At 44.3% G+C, this 18829-nt stretch overlaps 1 protein-coding gene across 2 annotated transcripts in view, besides 2 other annotated features; it reads left to right on the top strand.

Moving 5' to 3' along the window:
• Window positions 8135–8194: a silencer, noted in NCBI's record as "silent region_17103". NCBI's record gives its function as "represses an Ori minimal core promoter by ATAC-STARR-seq in GM12878 lymphoblastoid cells {active_cell/tissue: GM12878}" and the evidence as "EXISTENCE:reporter gene assay evidence [ECO:0000049][PMID:35858748]".
• Window positions 8225–8814: a silencer, noted in NCBI's record as "silent region_17102". NCBI's record gives its function as "represses an Ori minimal core promoter by ATAC-STARR-seq in GM12878 lymphoblastoid cells {active_cell/tissue: GM12878}" and the evidence as "EXISTENCE:reporter gene assay evidence [ECO:0000049][PMID:35858748]".
• SRPK1 (SRSF protein kinase 1) overlaps window positions 8477–18829 on the top strand; it is an 88133-nt gene continuing 77780 nt past the window's right edge. For both annotated transcript variants that reach the window (NR_034069.2, NM_003137.5), the window contains exons 1-2: window positions 8477–8531; window positions 9047–9107. Coding sequence is in view for 1 of the 2 variants with exons in the window: in NM_003137.5 (NP_003128.3) it covers window positions 8519–8531; window positions 9047–9107 (74 nt within the window). In the remaining variant the exon portion in view is untranslated. The remainder of the gene's footprint in view (window positions 8532–9046; window positions 9108–18829) is intronic.

The raw sequence follows: 18829 nt of genomic DNA, 5'->3' as shown, positions 1-18829 counted from the left end.
TGTGTGTGTGTGTATATATATATACATGTTTTGTTTGTTTTGAGAGAGGGTCTCACTCTATCGCCCAAGCTGAAGTACAGTGGCATAATTATGGGTCACTGCAACAACCTCCTGGGCTCAAGCAATCCTCCTGCCTCAGCCTCCCAAGTAGCTGGGCCCCCAGGTGCCTGCCAGTATGCACAGCTATTTAAATTTTTTTTTTTTTTTTTTTTTTTTTGTAGAGACAAGGTCTCAGTTTGTTGCGCAGGCTGGTCCTGAACTCCTGACCTCAAGCAATCCTCCCGTCTCAGCCTCCCAAAGTGCTGGGATTACAGGCATGAGCCACTGTGCCTGGCCCCCTTACATTTTATACCTCTGTGATACCATGCTGTTTTCTCTGACTGGAGTTTTCTTTCCTCCCTTTTGTGTGCAGCTGATACCTACTCATGCTTTCCAACTCTGTCCAGGTGTCACTCATCCAAGAGATGCCTCTTTCCTTGCCTCTCTATAAATCCTGAGCTGACGGGGCCTCTTTTCTTGTGCTTCCAGGGTAGCTTCTGCATCTACCATTGTACATTGTATTTAATTACTTACTTATCTATCCATCCCCCACTACACTGGGTAGGTAATATAGTGTGTGGCTGAGAGTATGAATTCCAGAGTCTGACTTCCCAGATTCAAAACCTTGCCTCTTATTACCTTGCATGATCTTGGTTGTGCCTTAGTTTTTTCCTGTCAGAGATTAAAAGAATAGTACCTATCTTGTAGGGTTTCAGGGTTGTGGGACAACAGTGACTAGTAAATAGTAATTTTGTTGTTGTTGTTTGTTTGAGACGGAGTCTCGCTCTGTCACCCAGGTTCGAGTGCAGTGGCATGACCTCAGCTCACTGCAACCTCCGCCTCCCGGGTTCTAGCGATTCTCCTGCCTCAGCCTCCTGTATAGCTGGGATTACAGGTGGGCGCCACCATGCCTGGCTAATTTTTGTTTTTTTAGTAGAGACGGGGTTTCACCATGTTAGTCAGGCTGGTCTCCAACTCCTGACCTCGTGATCTGCTCACCTCGGCCTCCCAAAGTGTTGGGATTACAGGCATGAGCCATCGCACCCAGCCAGTAATTGTTATATAAGAGTTAGCTATTAAATCCTACAGAGCAAGGCCTATTTTTTTCCTTCTTTGCTTCTCACAGCCTAAGGGCTGAAGTGTAAATGTCTGTCATGAGGGTAAGTATGGTGGAAAGTATTTGAAAGAAGGAAACAAAAAAATGGATTTAACATTGCATAGCCAGTAGAAATCAGATCTCAAATGTGTAAGCCATGTTGTCCATTTCTATGTATTTCCTAAATTGACTTCAGTGTGCCCCCAAGCCTGCCATGATGGAGAAGTTAAATCACAGTCCTTATAGAGCTTGTCTCTCAAGGGTCACGTAAGAGTCTGGGAGGTTTACACACTGCTCAGGAAACAGTAAAGACTTTTGATCTTGATGGATTCTCGCTCTGTCACCCAGGCTGGAGTTCAGTGGTATGACATCTGCTCCCTGAAACCTCTGTCTCCCAGGTTCAAGCAGTTCTCCTGCCTTAGCCTCCCAAGTAGCTTGGATTACAGACATGAGCCACCATGCCCGGCTAATTTTTGTATTTTTAGTAGAGAGAGGGTTTTGCCATGTTGGCCAGGCTGGTCTCAAACTCCTGACCTCAGGTGATCTGCCCGCCTTGGCCTTCCAAAGTGCTGGGATTACAGGCATGAGCCACCGTGCCTAGTCAGACTTTTGATCTTAAGTTCATTATTTTTATTGTCTAAGTCTGCATGACCCCTGGAACATGCTAAGTATAGCAGAGCATCTTTGTCTGGCTTGGGAGCCTCTTAGGGGCCCCCAATCTTATATTTATAATTTACCTTAAAATACTTTGGCATCTATCCTTGGAATCAAGGCAAGGAAAGCATATTCTAGGTAAGGATATTTAAGAAAGCTCTTCTGGGACTTCTAGAACCTTAGATAGGATCCAGCATGTTTCTGTTTTGGCAACTCACATAGAGGGGATGTGCGGTAAGACTTTCTTACATTCCCCTCGTCTTGGACTCCCAGATTGCTTTTTTTTTAAATTGGCATTTTAAAGAAATAAATCTACTTCTTAAAAAAAATACCTGGGGGCCGGGCACCGTGGCTCATGCCTGTAATCCCAGCACTTTGGGAGGCCAAGGTGGGTGGATCACGAGGTCAGGAGATCCTGGCTAACACAGTGAAACCCCGTCTTTACTAAAAATACAAAAAATTAGCCGGGCGTCGTGGTGGGCGCCTGTAGTCCCAGCTACTCGGGAGGCTGAGGCAGGAGAATGGCATGAACCCGGGAGGCGGAGCTTGCAGTGAGTCAAGATTGTGCCACTGCACTCCAGCCTAGGTGACAGAGCAAGACTCCATCTCAAAAAAAAAAAAAAAATACTTGGGCATATTAAATCTTTTGGGAAAGACAGGATGACATTTGTAGGCACCAGTTATTTACACACCTAGGTGCAGCTTGTGTTTTAATCAGCAATTTCCATTCCAAGAGTGGTTAGTAAATATTCTACTCAGAAAGTGACTACAACAAAGTAATTCAGAGTCATTGACTGCCATAAATTTTGACAATGACAGCCCTTTTCTAAAATCCATTACACAAATTAACAAGCAACTCTTTTCACCAGTGAAAACCCATTTCTGATAACTCCTGTGATGTGAATCAGGTTTGGAACAGCATAACAAACATAAGGGAGACTCCATCTCTAGTTGCCTGATCCCGACTGTGAGGGTGAGAGTCCTGACTCTGGGATATTGTTGTCCCTGCCGTGAGTAAACCTTTCATTCATGCTGTGGCCAGAGCACCTAAAAGGACAGAGAGCTGGGACCTCAAAGAACTTACAGGACAGGTTATAGGACCTGTTTTGTGCCTGCCTGCTAATGGGTGTGCAACAAACCTACATGTGGCAGATTTTAGTCTGAAACTTTTCTTTATGTCCTGGGAGTAGGCCTGCCAGGGAGGCAAACCCTCACCATGTCAAGCTTCTCTGGCAGGCATCACTCCCAACCAAAAAAAGCTAAGAGTTGGGCATGATCAGCTAAGGTCAGTTTGCAACACCTTGCTCCCACCCAGAACACTTCCAGGGAGCAGAGCAAGGGCCCTACCTGCTCAGGAATCACCAATCTCTAACCTCCTCATTCTTAGAGAATCCCCTTCCCCTCCTAGCTACTGCCTTTATTCCCACCCCAACAAGCCAAGGCCTTTATTCTTTCATCTTCTCCACCTACGCCCCCGGATCTTTCACCCCAGCACAATTTCTTTGTGAAACTTAAGCTTTTATAGAATGAAGCCAGAAATGGGGTCATCTCCAGGTGGCATTGGTTCTCCAGGGGTCAGGGTGCCCAAGAGGCAGATTTACCTGCTTGGAAAATGCCAGCTGCTTTGGGTGTCTGACTGCCCAGACAGGCTATGCTGGATATTCTCTGTTTGGCCCTCCAGATCCACTCTCCACCTTTCTCCACCCTGCTTTATGCCCTGGGAGGCTGGCATGTATGGACTGCATCACCCAGGCTTCCTTGCCATTTAACTTCCAGCTGGGTTTTGTCAATGGTGAGGCACTCGTTTGAGAAGATGTGGGTCTTTATTTCCCTGCCCTCTCCCTGCAGGGCTCATTAAAGGGCACAGCTGCTGCCAGGCGGGCCTCTCTTACTACAGCTCTGTTATGGGTTGAATTTTGCCCCCCACCCAACAAAAGATATGTTGGAGTCCTAATCTCCAGTACCTCAGAATGTGTCCTTACTTGGAAACAGGGTCTTTCCAGAGGTAATCAAATTAAAATGAGGTTTTTAGGATGAAGCCCAATGCAGTATGACTGGTGTCCGTATAAAAAGGGGAAATCCCAACACAATGAGAGACAGATGCACAGGGAAGAGCATGTGGCGAGGGAGATGATGGTTACCCAGAAGGCAAGGAGAAGGGCCTGAAACACATTCTCTCTCACAGACCTCAGAAGGAACCAACCCTGCCAATACCTTGATTTCAGACTTCTAAGCCTGTGAGACAAGAATTTTCTATTGTTTAAGCTACCCAGTTTGTGGTACTTTGTTATGGCAGCCCCTGGAAAACTTTTTTTTTTTTTTTTTTGAGACAGAGTTTTGTTTTTGTTGCCCAGGCTGGAGTGCAGTGGCGCAATCTCGGCTTACTGCAACCTCTGCCTCCCAGGTTCAAGCGATTCTCCTGCCTCAGTCTCCCAAGTAGCTGGGATTACAAGCGCCCGCCACCATGCCCAGCTAATTTTTTTTTTTTTTTTTTTGTATTTTTAGTAGAGACGGGGTTTCATCATGTTGAACAGGCTGGTCTTGAACTCCTGACCTCAGGTGATCCACCCGTCTTGGCCTCCCAAAGTGCTGGGATTACAGGCGTGAGCCACCGCGTCCGGCCCCTGGCAAATTGTTAATAATAAACCTCTCCCTGGGTTCTGATAACACCTCCATCCTCTTCTCCCTTCAGGCCTAGAGATGGTAAAAACTCCAGCTGTTGCTAGTCCCTGGATGTCTAACTATCCCTTGTTTGTTTTCCTTAACACCTTTATTCCTTCATTAAATTCTCTTCAATTAGCCTTTAAATGTGCCATGTGTTTCCTGATACCCAGGCCTATAATATGTAGATTTTCCCAATATAATTCACAAAACCATGTATCCAAAAGGTAAGAGAAAGTTTTTTTGGGGTTTTCCAATTATGCAGACAGCTATTGGAAATCTTAACTCATTCAAAATAAATCATCTCATGTATTTTCACTTTCTCCTGTTGTCCATTTCATCTCGCAAGACGTAGGGGAGGCCATAAAGGGATGTGTTGCTTTGGATTTAAGTCAGATCAAAACTTTAGACAAAGCATAATAATTTGTGATAATCAAGGCAGACAATGTTGGGTATGAAGAAACGTGTGAACTCAACTTTAGACGTTCAGATTTCTAAAATGTCAAAGAAGTATTAGAGAAGATTCCAGGGAGTCTTAATAAGTAAGTTAGCTCAAAAGGGATAGGATCTTTTCAGAAATTAAATTCTGAGACTACCATGAGCAGCCAAAAATATGATGGGTTATGGTTTCCGAATACCTCTACTTTTAAAGGGACTTGCAGGAAAAAAATAGCTGATGGAGAAGGGGTATGCATGTAAGAATGAATAGCTACCACTTTTTTTGTGTCTTTCTTTTTTCCTTTTTGTGCAGAAAAGGGTCTTGCTGTATTGCCCAGGCAGGTCTCTAACTCTTAGGCTCAAGGTATCCTCCTGCCTCTGCCTCCCTAAGTGTTGGGATTACAGGCATGAGCCACTGTGCTTGGCCTACACTTTTTTTTTTTTTTTTTGCTAACACTTTTAAGAATAGTTTCTGGGGAGCCTAAGGGGGGCAGATTGTTTGAGCCCAGGAGTTCCAAACCAGCCTGGGCAATGTGGCAAAACCCCATCTCTATAAAAAACACAAAAATCAAGTGGATATGGTGGCATGTGCCTGTAGTAGTTCCAGCTACTGGGGAGGCTGAGGTGAAAAAATTGCTTGAGCCCGGGTTGCAGTGAGGAAAGATTTCGCCACTGCGCTCCTGCCTGGGTGACAGAGTGAGACCCTGTCAAAGAAAAAAAAAAATTCTGGAAAGTTAAAAGTCCAGAATAGGCCAAGCTCTGCAAACTTGGGAGAAGAAACTATTTTTAAAGTTACATTTCAAGCAAAATGCACAAAAAGGGGATGGTTGTAGAATAGGGGAAATGAACAAACGTGCTTACATGAACAGTTATAGAGGTCTTAGAAAAAGTGGAGAGCCAAAGCATGATGGAGGAATAGAGAAAAACAGATGGAAAAAAAAGAGAAATGGTCAATTCTGGGAACTCAGTCCAGTGAACTTCACATTGACTCTGGAAAAATTCTGAAAACGAGTTATTAAACAGATGGTTAGTAAGCTCTTAGAGAAGCAATAGCCTACTCAGAGTCAGGATAGGTACGACTGTATCATGCCAAGCTGAACATATTTCCTTTTTGATGGGTCTGCAATAACCAATTCAGATTTAATACAGCTCTAATATTGTCCCTCTCAGTGTTTTCTCTCTCTTTCATCCTGACATTTCTCATAAACTGCAGATCATTTATTCTTTTTTTTTTCTTTTGAGACGGAGTTTTGCTCTTGTTGCCCAGGCTGGAGTGCAGTGGTGCAATCTCGGCTCACTGCAACCTCCGCCTCCCGGGTTCAAGCGATTCTCCTGCCTCAGCCTCCCAAGTAGCTGGGATTACAGGCATGTGCCACCATGCCCGGCTACTTTTGTATTTTTAGTAGAGATGAGGTTTCACCATGTTGGCCAGGATGGTCTCGATCTCTTAACCTTGTGATCTGCCCGCCTCGGCCTCCCAAAGTGCTGGGATTACAGGCATAAGCCACTGTGCCTGGCCCATTTATTCTTTTATTAGACAAATATATGAGCACCTACTAAGTGCCTAACACTGTGTAGGCACTGAGTTTACATCAAGGAAAACCTAAGCAGGGTCTCTACACTCAAACAGTTTACTTTGGGGTGGGCAGTACTTTCCCAATTCTGGGATTTTTCCTAGCTATCAGCTCTCTCCCTGTCTTTTCTAAACCACACGCGGTTATCCTGAACTCACACAACCCTCAGAGTCTAGGGCTTCCCTGTCTGTCCTAACCTTCCTTTTGTTTTCAACTTTACAGCAGGGAATAGACTGGGCTGCATCCTTCCTTGGCCAACAGGTACTGTCTTCTTTTGCAATATACTCAGACATGCTATCATTCAGGTTCCATGCAACATATATCAATTATCTAAATTTCAAATTTGGCTAACCTGCCTTTCCAGCCTCACCTTCCATTTCATCCCTTCAGTTGTTACCAGCCCCAATCCTAGCCCCCACCTACAGGTGTCCACGTCTGTGCCTTTTTGCTCAATGTATTTTCTCATTCAGGAATGCCTGACATCTCCTTCTCCACCTATAGAAATCTTACATATTTCCTAATACCCAGCTCAAAAACTGCCTTCTCTGGATGGGCTTAATTACTTACTTTGCTCAATAAGTTCTGCCAAAGCCCCCATGCTTGACTTGTGCTGTACTATTGCCCTCTCATCTTCCCTTCTCAATTACTTGTTCAGAGCAAAGGTCTTCAGAGCTTCCACTCTGTCCAGCTGCGGTACTTTACAACATGGGTTGGTAAACTAAGATCTGAAATAAGAATAACCGTTGAAACGGTTGAAAAAAGATCAAAAGGGCCTGGCTCAGTGGCTCACACCTGTAATTCCAGCACCTTGGGAGGCTGAGGTGGGAGGATCACTTGAGCCCTGGATGTCCAGGCTGCAGTGAGCCGAGATCATGCCACTGTACTCCGGCCTAGGCAGCAGAGCAAGACTGCTCTCTCTGTCTTTCTTTAACCCTCACCTTCCCTTCAAAACCTAACAAAGACCATGTTTAAATCAATAGAAGAACATTTTATGACGTGAAAATTATATGAAATTCAAATTTCAGTGTCCATACATAAATCTTTATAGGAACACAGCCCATATTTTCTATGACTGCTTTTGAGCTCCAATGGCAGAGTTGAGTAGCTGAGAAAGAGATCTTATGGTCCACAAAGCCTAAATATTTACTGTACGGCCCAAAGAAAAACTTTGCTGAGCCTGCTATACAATAAGGGCTTCATGATTAAATAACTGGGTCGTACACCAAGATTCTGAACATATAGGCAGGCCCTCTTAAGTTTAGTGTCTTTGTGTAATGGAAGTAATAACTATTTTGCCTTTAAGTTGCCATAAACATCAAATGAGATAATGCACTTAGAAAATAAAAACAAAAAAAACTTATAAACAAGACAGCTTTATCATGTATTGAAGGTGGTAGAATAAGAAAACATTAAACGTTTTTATTCTCATTTCCCCTTCTTTCCTTTACAGCTTTCACTTAAACTTGAAATTTCAAGAGAAAATTCACTTTTGAAGTTTTTACTTTTCAAGTGATAATAGGGTCACAGGTTCTTTCCTTCCAGTCTTTTTGTGTTGCTCCCACTCCCTTTTCTTTCTCACATGTAATTTTTTTCCATTTTCTTTAAATAGTATCTCAACTGGGCTCACAATAGCTCAGGGAAGGAGAAACTGGGACATGCCTGATTAATCCATTTTACAGGCCAGGAAACTGAGGCAGATCCCAGTTGCCTCCGAAGCTCTGACTCAGCAGCATGCAGAGAGCCCTGCCGCTCTCTGCGCCTTTTCTAAACAAATAGAACAAAACTAACCTTGCCAGGTTTCCAAGCTTGGATCTCTAACACTCCTTCAACGTTCACCCCGGCGTTCCTCCCCGCTGCGCCCCCTCCCTCTCCTTGCCGCCCCCTCCTCGGGAGCAGGTGGTAGGCTCCGCGCCCAACGCGCAAGCGCGCGGCATCGTGGGGCGGGGGTGGGGCGGGACTGAGGGCGGAGTGTGAGCGGGCTCGGTTTTGGGCCGCGGCGGGAGCGGGAGTCGCCGCCACTCGAGTGCGCAGGCGCCTGGCGATTACCGGTCTCACCATGGAGCGGAAAGGTGAGCGGTGGAGCGGCCTCCGCCACGAGGGGCAATGGTCGCCGGGGCGAGGCCCGGGTCAGCGCCGGGAGCTTCGCTTAACTGCCGCGGTTCGGTTCCCGGACGTGCGGCGCCCCTCCACTGAGGTGGCGCCGCCCCACACCCCCTGCCTCTGGGCTGCGGGTCCGCGCCCCTCAGTCCGGGCGTCCTCTGGCGCCGGCCGTAGCCGCCCCTTGTTCCCCGCCAGGCCGGCTCGCGCCTTGGGGCCACTCCAGGGCCCGGCCCTTGGCGGGCGACGCAGACCCCCACCCGCCCGCCCCCTGACCCGGCCTGAGACCCCTCCGGCGCATCCCGCCCGGGCGCTGCTCTGCGCCCCGTGGGCCGCCAGCCCCACGGCCGGCCGCCTCGCCGGAGCCCGCAGCCGCCCCCGAGGCAGGCCCCGCAGCCGGGCCTGGCGCCCCTGCTGGGTCTCCACCCTCACCTTGGTCGCCTCCTTTCCTCCACATTCGCCCTTCATCCATCCCTCTCTCCTGCAGTGCTTGCGCTCCAGGCCCGAAAGAAAAGGACCAAGGCCAAGAAGGACAAAGCCCAAAGGAAGTGAGTCTTGTACCCCAACATCCCATTCTTTGGATTTTCCTCCGGCACCTTCTCTGCTCTGGTTTCACGTCTTGAACGTGCACCGGGTTTGGGCACCCTGTGGCTGCAGCCACATGGCCTCGGGGCAGCTCGGAGGGTCGCTCTCCAGCAACCATGTGGAAGAGAGCTGCTGTTGCTCAACGCCAGGCCTGGGTCTTAGCAGCCCCGGGCCTGCTGGAAAGGGCTGTCGGAGGAGGACCAGAGCCCGCCCGGTACCTTTCCTCCCCAACTCCACAGAGGAGGCACAAACTCCCCTAGCTTGGACCTCCCCACCGGAGCTGGTAGATCATTATCGGTCTGTTTCTGAACTCTGGTCTCTCTTACCTGCTCCCCAACGTCTTAACTTGCCTCCGACGTCTTCACGGTAGGCCTTAAGGAAATTCTTGAATGAATTTTTCCGTGTTTACTTTGGGTTCTACCAACCACACACTCCCTTTCATAGAGGAGGGCATGGGGCTTTTCCCTGGGTTAGTCAACTTCCTGAGCCTGTAAGGCGTATCGGCTTTTTTGCAGTGTGCCGGCAGACCGCTGTGTATACAGTCGGTGTCTGTTAACTGCTTCTCTTCTGTCTAAACCTCAACCAGATGCAGATAATCTTCCGGAGTGGACATCACAATAGTAACGGGAGAGTTCTTTAACAAACATTGATGATTCTGGTTTGGCGTATTAAGCGCCACATGTCCAGTTTTATCAGTAGGATGCATAACAGTAGTTTAGTGCTATCGTGGCAAGTTCAAAAGTTGGTCACAGCCTAGTAGAAACTCAGGTAGCAGGCTTAGCAGCAAGTGAGGCTAAGCCTTAAGAACTTTCATCATGTACTAACGTTTAATTGCAAAGGATCTTGGAAATCAGCTCTTACACACTTTGTATTCAGAGAGAGCTTGTATGCCTAGTTATTAATACATCTTAATTTTAGATGTATTATCTTTATAGTTTTACATTTATTTGATGTTTTGTGGCATCGTATGCGGTCTAATTCCCTCTGAGCTGATACAACACATTTCAAAGGCCTTCCTAGGTCACCCCACTGAATGACAATACCAGATTAGGGGGGTGTAGGGGTGTGTGTTGTTTTTGGAGGCTACCTACTGTTTGGGGAGAGCACATAATGACTTCTCTCTTTCAATAGAACTAAAGTGGTAGGTGACCTCACCTCTTGCTCCATTTTCTCTTCTGTCTTATGAAATGTATTTTGTAAGTGCTTGGTGACGAAGTCTTGTAAATGAGAGTTTGTGTGTGTCTGTTTACCTTTGGATTATCCATATATGGGATTATTCAAAACCAGTTTTTAATCCTAGATCGTTTAATAGAAACAGCAAGGTGCTAACTTGGTTCTAGTGTGCAGTAGGACTTGAAATGTTACTTTTCTGTGCCTAGTTTAGTTATTCTTTGTGGAATTGATGAGAATGTGTTAAAACGTTCTTTTCTATTGATACAAGGAAGTTGCAGTTTTTATTATATTACTCTGTATTTTTTAGAAATCCTGGTCTCTCAGACTATTTGTCCAGATCTCTCTTACCACTTAGAAATTAATTTGAGATTAGCCCAAATCAAGCTGTAATTTGAGGGGTAAATGTATATAGATGATATACTTTAAGCACCAGAAATCTGTTACTTTCGATTATCTATTTAGACCATATGCTTTATTTCTAAAGTCAGATGTGTATCTGTTACCCCATTCACTACTATGGATAACTTAGAGTTATTTGTGTTAATTGTTTGCAAGTATGGATTATAGATAATCTAGCAGTCATTTTACTGAATATTTCATCTTGAACAACTTTGAATCCTGAAAATATGCGTGAATGAACTGCCCCCATTTCCTTGTAACTTCAGAGGTGTTTTATTTTTGGATTTGTTTCCAATTAATAAGTTTTTTTTGTTTGTTTGTTTTTGAATTTACCTACCTTTTTTTTCTTTTTCTTTTTGAGGCAAAAAGAAAGCCTGTTGCCCAGGCTGCAGTGCAATGGTGCGATCTCGGCTCACTGCAACCTCCACCTACCAGATTCAAGCAATTCTCTTGCCTCAGCCCCCCAAGTAGCTGGGACTACAGGCGTGTGCCACTACGCCTGGTTAATTTTTGTATTTTTTGTAGAGAGAGAGTTTCGCCATGTTGCCCAGGCTGGTCTCGAACTCCTGAGCTCAGGTAATCCGCCTGCCTCAGCCTCCCAAAGTGCTGGGATTACAGGCATGAGCCACTGCACCTTGCTCTTTTTCTTTCTTCCTTTTTGTCTTTCTTTCTGTCTTTCTTTTCTTTTGTTTGTATCCCAGCCTCCTTTTAAGTAGCTGAAATGTCTAATTAAGTTGGTTAGAGTACTGTGTTAGAAGTTCAAGCCTCAACTAAGGTAACTTGACTCTGTTCCATGACTTCTGACTGCACTCCTGATGACTTCCATTTACTTTGCTAAGGCAAGCTGCTAGTTACAGGAGGTGAGTCAGGAAGAAGATTTGAGGAAGAAGCATGCCATAGAGTTTGGTCTTTGGAGATAGATGTGGTTTTGAATTCTGATTTTGCTACTTTTTAGCAATCTGACCTTAGACAAGTTAGTTAAGGAAACAGTCTTATGTATATATCCTGACTGGCAGTTCAGTCATAGTGAAAACTGATCAGGACCTAAAGATATAAAAACAAAGCGTTTAAATGAAAATTTTAGAAAGTTTTGGAACTGTTACAGTAAATAGCATCCTTAGTAATTTAGTCGTGTTGTGTCACAGGCAGAAGGGATTTTCAGTCCCCTGGTACTGCAGATCTTAAACCCAGGGTCTTGAAGCTGGTGACAGAAGAACCAAAACTTGGAATTCAGGGTCCCTTTCCAGCTCTGTGTTTGTTAGAGTGGATTTCCTTTGGGTTCTTTTCACTGTGCTGGAGTATTTGACTTTGGGATTTTAAATTTTCTTATTTAGACAATTCTTCATTTTACTTTTGTGGACGCTGTGCTTTTATTTACTAACATTAACTAGTTGGTGATGATCTCCATTTTACTTTACAGATAAGAGAATTGAGGTTTGTCAGATTACTCCCCTAGAAAATTGCAAAGCTGGGATTTGAACCCAGGTCTGACATACCCAAAGCCCTGGCTACCAATCATGTGTTTCTAAGTGACAGTGCTTTTGGTGTGTCTTACAACAGGTAAGGTAGAAGCTGAGTTGAAAGAGGCTTCTGAATGAGAGACCTCTGGATGCTTGGGGGTTTGGGTGCCCTTTCATGACATACTGTCCTGTGTCTATGAAACAGCACAATCATCTATCTCCCTCTGAACATTTGTTTTCAGTGTTTATACCAATAGCTGTGAGCCTTTATTTGTTTGTCATAAGCTTTTATAATTTAACAGTGTGTGTCTGTTTTTGTTTTGTTTTGTTTTGTTTTTTGAGACAGAGTCTCACTCTGTCACCCGGGCTGGAGTGCAGTGGCGCATTCTCAGCTCACTGCAACCTCTGCCTCCCGGGCTCAAGCCATTCTCCTGCCTCAGCCTCCCAAGTAGCTGAGATTACAAGCACCTGCCACCACGCCCGGCTAATTTTTGTATTTTTCGGGGTAGAGACAGGGTTTCACCATGTTGGCCAGGCTGGTCTCAAACTCGACCTCGAGTGATCCACCTGCCTTGGCCTCTCATAGTGCTGGTATTACAGGTGTGAGCTACCGTGCCTGACCTATATGTCTGTTTTTGAAGTTGTTTCTATGGAACATAATTCCAGAATGGATTTCATACTTACTGATTTTATTACTTACCTTAGGAAGCTGGTTTGGACAGTAATTTTCACTTTATTTGCAGTTAAATAATTATGGATTTAGTATACATTTGGTAGTAAAATTAATTCAGCTCTAACACTGATTTGTGGAGTCATTTGGGAGATATATTGAAAATTTACTTGAATTTGGCCACAAATTAAAAAAAAAATTTACAAGAGAAAATACTTAAATATCTAACATTTTTATTCAGTAGGAAGTAGAGCCAGTAAATTTGAAACAATTTAAAAAATGAAATAGTATTTGATGCTTTTTACACTTAGCAGTGCACCTTGGAAATTGGTTCTATATTCCATATAGTGCAGCCTTACTATTTTTTTTAGGGTCTGCCTTTTTCACTGAGTCTTAGAAATAGTTCCATGTCAGGACAGAAAGAGAACCTCATCTAGCATTCCATTAAGTTGATATGCCATAATTTAATTAATTAATTAATTAATTTATTTATTTATTTATTTGAGGCAGAGTCTTCGCTCTTGTCATCCAGTCTGGAGTGCAGTGGTGAGATCTCAGCTCACTGCAACCTCAGCCTCCTGGGTTCAAGCGATTCTCCTGTCTCAGTTTCTCGAGTAGCTGGGATTACAGGCACATACCACTGTGTCCAGCCAACCATAATTTATTTTAATTTTTATTAATAAACGTGTGTGTGTGTGTGTGTGTGTGTGTGTGTGTGTGTGTGTGTGTGTATATATTTTTTTTTTTTTTTGTTTTTGAGACAGAGTCTCGTTCTGTCGCCCAGGCTGGAGTTCAGTGGTGCAATCTCGGCTCTCTGCAACCTCCGCCTCCTGGGTTCAAGTGATTCTCCTGCCTCAGCCTCCAGAGTAGCTGGGACTACAGGTGTGTGCCACCACGCCCCACTAATTTTTTGTATTTTTAGTAGAGACGGGATTTCACCGTGTTAGCCAGAATGGTCTCCATCTCCTGACCTCATGATCCGCCCACCTCGGCCTCCCAAAGTGCTAGGCTTACAGGCGTGAGCCACCGCACCTGGCCTGTATATACCTTTAAAGACAAAAATGGAATCACTGGGCATACTTTTCCCTAGTTAACATTATCATGAGTATTTTTCGTGTATTAAATATTCCACTATGGGCTGTTTCCAGTTTTTCACAATTAATTCACAGCTATAGTGAATAATCTTTTGGACAAATCATTGCTTACATCAGTGATTATTTCCTTAGGATAAATACTTCGAATGGTATATACATTTAAAATATTTTTAGTTCATTTTGTCAAAATTTTGTCCAGCAAGATTTTTCTTTTTTTTTTTTTTTTTTGAGACGGTGTCTTGCTCTGTCGTCCAGGCTGGAGTGCAGTGGCGTGATCTCGGCTCACTGCAAGCTCCCCCTCCCGGGTTCATGCCATTCTCCTGCCTCAGCCTCCCGAGTAGCCGGGACTACAGGCGCCCGCCACCATGCCTGGCTAATTTTGTTTTTGCATTTTTAGTAGAGACGAGGTTTAACTGTGTTAGCCGAGATGGTCTCGATCTCCTGACGTCGCGTTCTGCCCGCCTCAGCCTCCCAAAGTGCCAGGATTACAGATGTAAGCCGCCATACCCGGCCTTCCTCCAGCAAGATTTAACAGGTTTGGCCGGGCACAGTGGCTCAAGCCTGTAATCCTGGCACTTTGGGAGGCTGAGGCAGGGGGATCACTTGAGGTCAGGAGTTCAAGACCAGCCTGGTCAATACAGTGAAACCCTGCTTCTGGAAATACAAAAATTAGCCAGGTGTGGTGGCAGGTGCCTGTAATCCCAGCCACACAGGAGGCTGAGGCAGGAGAATCGCTTGAACCCGGGAGGTGGAGATTGTAGTGAGCCAACATCGTACCACTGCACTCTAGCCTGGGCAACAAAGCAAAGTTCCGTTTCAAAAAAAAAAAAGGATTTAACTAGTTTAACTCTTATTCATTAAACAAATAGTTTTTGATCTCCCACCCTGTCCCAAGCATTGTTTTCCATATTCGGGATTCAGCAGTGAAAGAAAAACATTCCTGTCCCGTTGGCTACTATATTATTATAGTGGGAGGAAAGACAGAATAAACAATAGACATAAATAAGTAAATTAAATAGTATATTAGGTGATAGGTGGAGAAAAAAGAGAAAGATAAGTGGGGGTTGAGAAATGGAGATAAGGTTACAGTTTTAAATAGGGTGATGGAGGCCACACTGAAAAGGTGACATTTGAACAAAGACTTGGAAGAGGACTGCTCTAGGCAAAGCAGTGGAAATGGGAGTGTTCTTGTATCTCCTGTGAAGCCACCAGAACTAGGTAATATTACTTGAAAAATCTTGCCAAATCTGGTAATCTATAAAATACCTTGTTGTAATTTTGAATTTTTTGCCCATTTTTAATATTAGATTGTTGATCTTTTTCTTGATCTTAAGAACTCTTTATTAAGAATGTATCCTAGCCAGGTCTGGTGACTCAAGCCTGTAATCCCAGCACTTTGGGAGGCTGAGGCGTGTGGATCACCCAAGGTCGGGAGTTCGAGACCAGCCTGATCAACATGGAGAAACCCCTTCTCTACTAAAAATACAAAAAATTAGCCGGGCGTCATGGTGCATGCCTGTAATCCCAGCTACTTGGGAGGCTGAGGCAGGAGAATTGCTTGAACCTGGGAGGTGGAGGTTGCAGTGAGCCGAGATCGTGCCATTGCACTCCAGCCTGGGCGACAAGAGCAAAACTCCATCTCAAAAAAAAAAAAAAAAAAAAAAAGAGAAAGTATCCTTTGTTGTGCGGCAGACTTTTATTTCTCAGCTTGTTATAGGTCCTTCAGATGTCACTTATAGTGTGCTTTTTACATAAATTGATTTTTAAAACCGTGGCAAATTTGTCTTTTCCTCTGCTTTTTCTTTTTTCTCTCTCTTTTATTTTTTTTTCTTTTTTTGAGATGGAATCTCGCTCTGTCACCCAGACTGGAGTACAGTGGCATGATCTTGGCTCACTGCAACTTCCGCCTCCTGGGTTCAAGCAATTCTCCTGCCTCAGGCTCCCGAGTAGCTGGGATTACAGGTGCGTGCCACCACACCTGGCTAATTTTTATATTTTTAGTAGAGACGGGGTTTCACCATGTTGTCCAGGCTGATCTCAAACTCCTGACTTCAGGTGATCACCTACCCTGGCCTCCCAAAGTGTTGGAATTACAGGCGTGAGCCACTGTGCCTGGCCTCCTTTGCTTTTTACTTTTTTTTGAGACGGGGTCTTGTTCTGTTGCCCAGGTGGGAGTGTAGTGGCGCGATCTCGGCTCACTGCAACCTCCACCTCCCGAGTTGGAGTGATTCAAGTGAATTCAAGTGATTCTCCTACCTCAAGGTCAACTGTTATATCTTTTTTAAAATTTGCATTTTTAATTGTGTGTGATTCCCTTAAATATAAATTTACTTGCAAAATTGAATTTCTAGAACTTCTCTTGTCAGAAAATATTTTGTTCTCTTCTTCCTCTGTAGTTTCATTGGTTAGTAAGTTTTATTTACATTAGTGTTTCTACTACAGTGCATCCCAGGCTTGACAAATTACCATTTTCCTTTAGATTACTTGAAACCAGCAACTTGTTGAAGTGCCAAAGTGAATAAGGCTGCGGGTGCTTAGGAATTCCCTTACTAAAAGTGAAAAAGGCTCGGTACAGTGGCTTATGCCTGTAATCCCAGCACTTTGGGAGGCCAAGGCCTTGAGCCCAGGAACTTGAGATTAGCCTGGGCAACATGGCAAGATCCTGTCTTCTAAAAACACAAAAGTTAGCTGGGTGTGGTGGCACGTGCCTGTAGTCCCAGCTACTCAGGAGACTGAGGTGAGAGGATCTCTTGAGCCCAGGAGGTAGAGGCTACAGTGAGCTGTGATTATGCCACTGCACTCCAGCCTAGGTGACAGAACAAGACCCCTGTCTCCAAAAGAAGGGAAGAAAGATGATCAACTAAAATCAATTTAGACCTTGTGGAATAACTGGCACTTTTTTGTGGGGTTTTTCCCACTTTAGGTAAGCTCTTTTGCTCATGCTCTCCAAATCCTCTCTATCACTGTTACTAGTTTGGGGATATTTTTAAATTGGCTAAAGTATTACAGGCATACTTTGGAGATACTATGGGTTCACGTTCAGTTCCAGACCACCTCAAAGCGAGTCACACAAAGTTTTTGTTTCCCAATGCATATAAAAGTTATGTTTGCACTGTACTGTAGTCTGTTAACTTTGCAGTAGCGTCATGTCTTTTAAAAATGTACAGACCTTAATTTAAAAATACGTTATTGCTAAAAAATGTTAAGGATCATCTGAGCCCTCAGTGAGTCATAATCTTTTTGCTGGTATAAGGTCTTGCCTCAATAATAATTTTTGTTTAAGGGAGATGGGGTCTGGTACTGTTGCCCAGGCTGGAGTGCAGTGGTGCTATCATAGCTCACTGCAGCATCGAACTCCTGGGTGCATGCGTTCCTCCTGCATCAGTCTCCCAAGTAGCTAGGATTACAGGCACATGCCACCATGCCCAGCTCATTTTTTATTTTTTATTTTTTTATTTTTTTTAAGGGATGGAATCTCATTATGTTGCCCTCAAGCTGGCCTTGAATTCTTGGCCTCAAGCAGTCCTCCTGCCTTAGCCTCCTGAGTAGTTGGGATTAGGGGTGTGAACCACTGCACCCAGCTATGGTCTTGCCTCAGTATTGATGGCTGCTGACTCATCTGGCGGCTGCTCAAGGTTGGAGTAGCTGTGGCAATTTCTTAAACAATGAAGTTTGCTGCATTTATTGACCCTCCCTTACCCAAAGATTTTTCTGTAGTATGCGATGATGTTTGATAGTATTTAACCCACAGAGGAACTTATTTCAAAATTGGAGTCAGTCCTTTCAAACTGTGCTACTGTTTTATAAATTAAGATTATGTTATATTCTAAGTCCCTTGTTGTCATTTCAACAATGTTCACAGCATCTTTACCAATAGTAGATTCCATCTCAAGAAACCGCTTTCTGCTGGGTGTGGTGGCATGCACCTGTGGTCCTAGCTACTTCGGAGGCCGAGATGGGAGGATTGCTTGGGCCCAGGAGTTCAAGGCCAGCCTGGGCAACATAGTGAGACCTTAGCTCTTAAAAACAAAAAAGAAAGAAACTTATTTTTTAAAAAAATTAATTAATAAACTAATCAGTTATTTTGAGACAGGGTCTCACCATGTTGCCCATGCTGGTCTTGAACTCCTGGGCTCAAGCCATCCTCCCACCTTGGCCTCCCAAAGTGCTGGGATTACAGGCGTGAGCCACCACGCCCGGCCAAGTAACCACTTTCTCATCATAAGAAGCAGCTCCTCATCTGTTCAAGTTTTATTATGAGATTGGAGCAATTTAGTCACATCTTCAGGATCCATGTCTAATTCTAGTCCTCTTGCTGTTTCTACCACATCTGTAGTTACTTCCTCCACAGAAGTCTTGAACATTTCAGTCATGCATGAGGGTTGGAATCAACTTCTTCCAAACTCCTGTTAATGTTGATATTTTTACCTCTCCCCATGACTGTTCTTAATGGCATATAGAATCGTGAATCCTTTCCAGAAGGTTTTCAATAGATTTTTCCCAGACCCATCAGAGGAATCACTATGGTAGCTATTGCCTTATCAAATGTATTTCTTAAATAATAAGACTTGAAAGTTGAAATGACTCCTTGATCCATGGGCTGCAGAATACATGTTATGTCAGTAGGCATGGAAACAACATTAATCTCTTTGTACATTCCCATCAGAGCTCTTGGGTGACTAGGTACATTGCAAATGAGCAGTAATATTTTCAAAGGAATCTATTTTTCTGAGCAGAAGGTCTCAATAGTGGCCTTAAAATATTCAGTAAACTATGCAGTAAACAGATGTTCTGTCATCTAGGCTTTGTTGTTCCATTTATAGAGCACAGGCAGAGTAGATTTAGCATAATTCTTAAGAGCCCTAAGATTTTTGTGATTGTAAATTAGT

The sequence above is a fragment of the Homo sapiens genome, chromosome 6 (genome assembly GCF_000001405.40).
Source record: "Homo sapiens chromosome 6, GRCh38.p14 Primary Assembly".
Taxonomy (NCBI): domain Eukaryota; kingdom Metazoa; phylum Chordata; class Mammalia; order Primates; family Hominidae; genus Homo; species Homo sapiens.
This window is presented reverse-complemented; position numbering and strand designations above follow the sequence as displayed.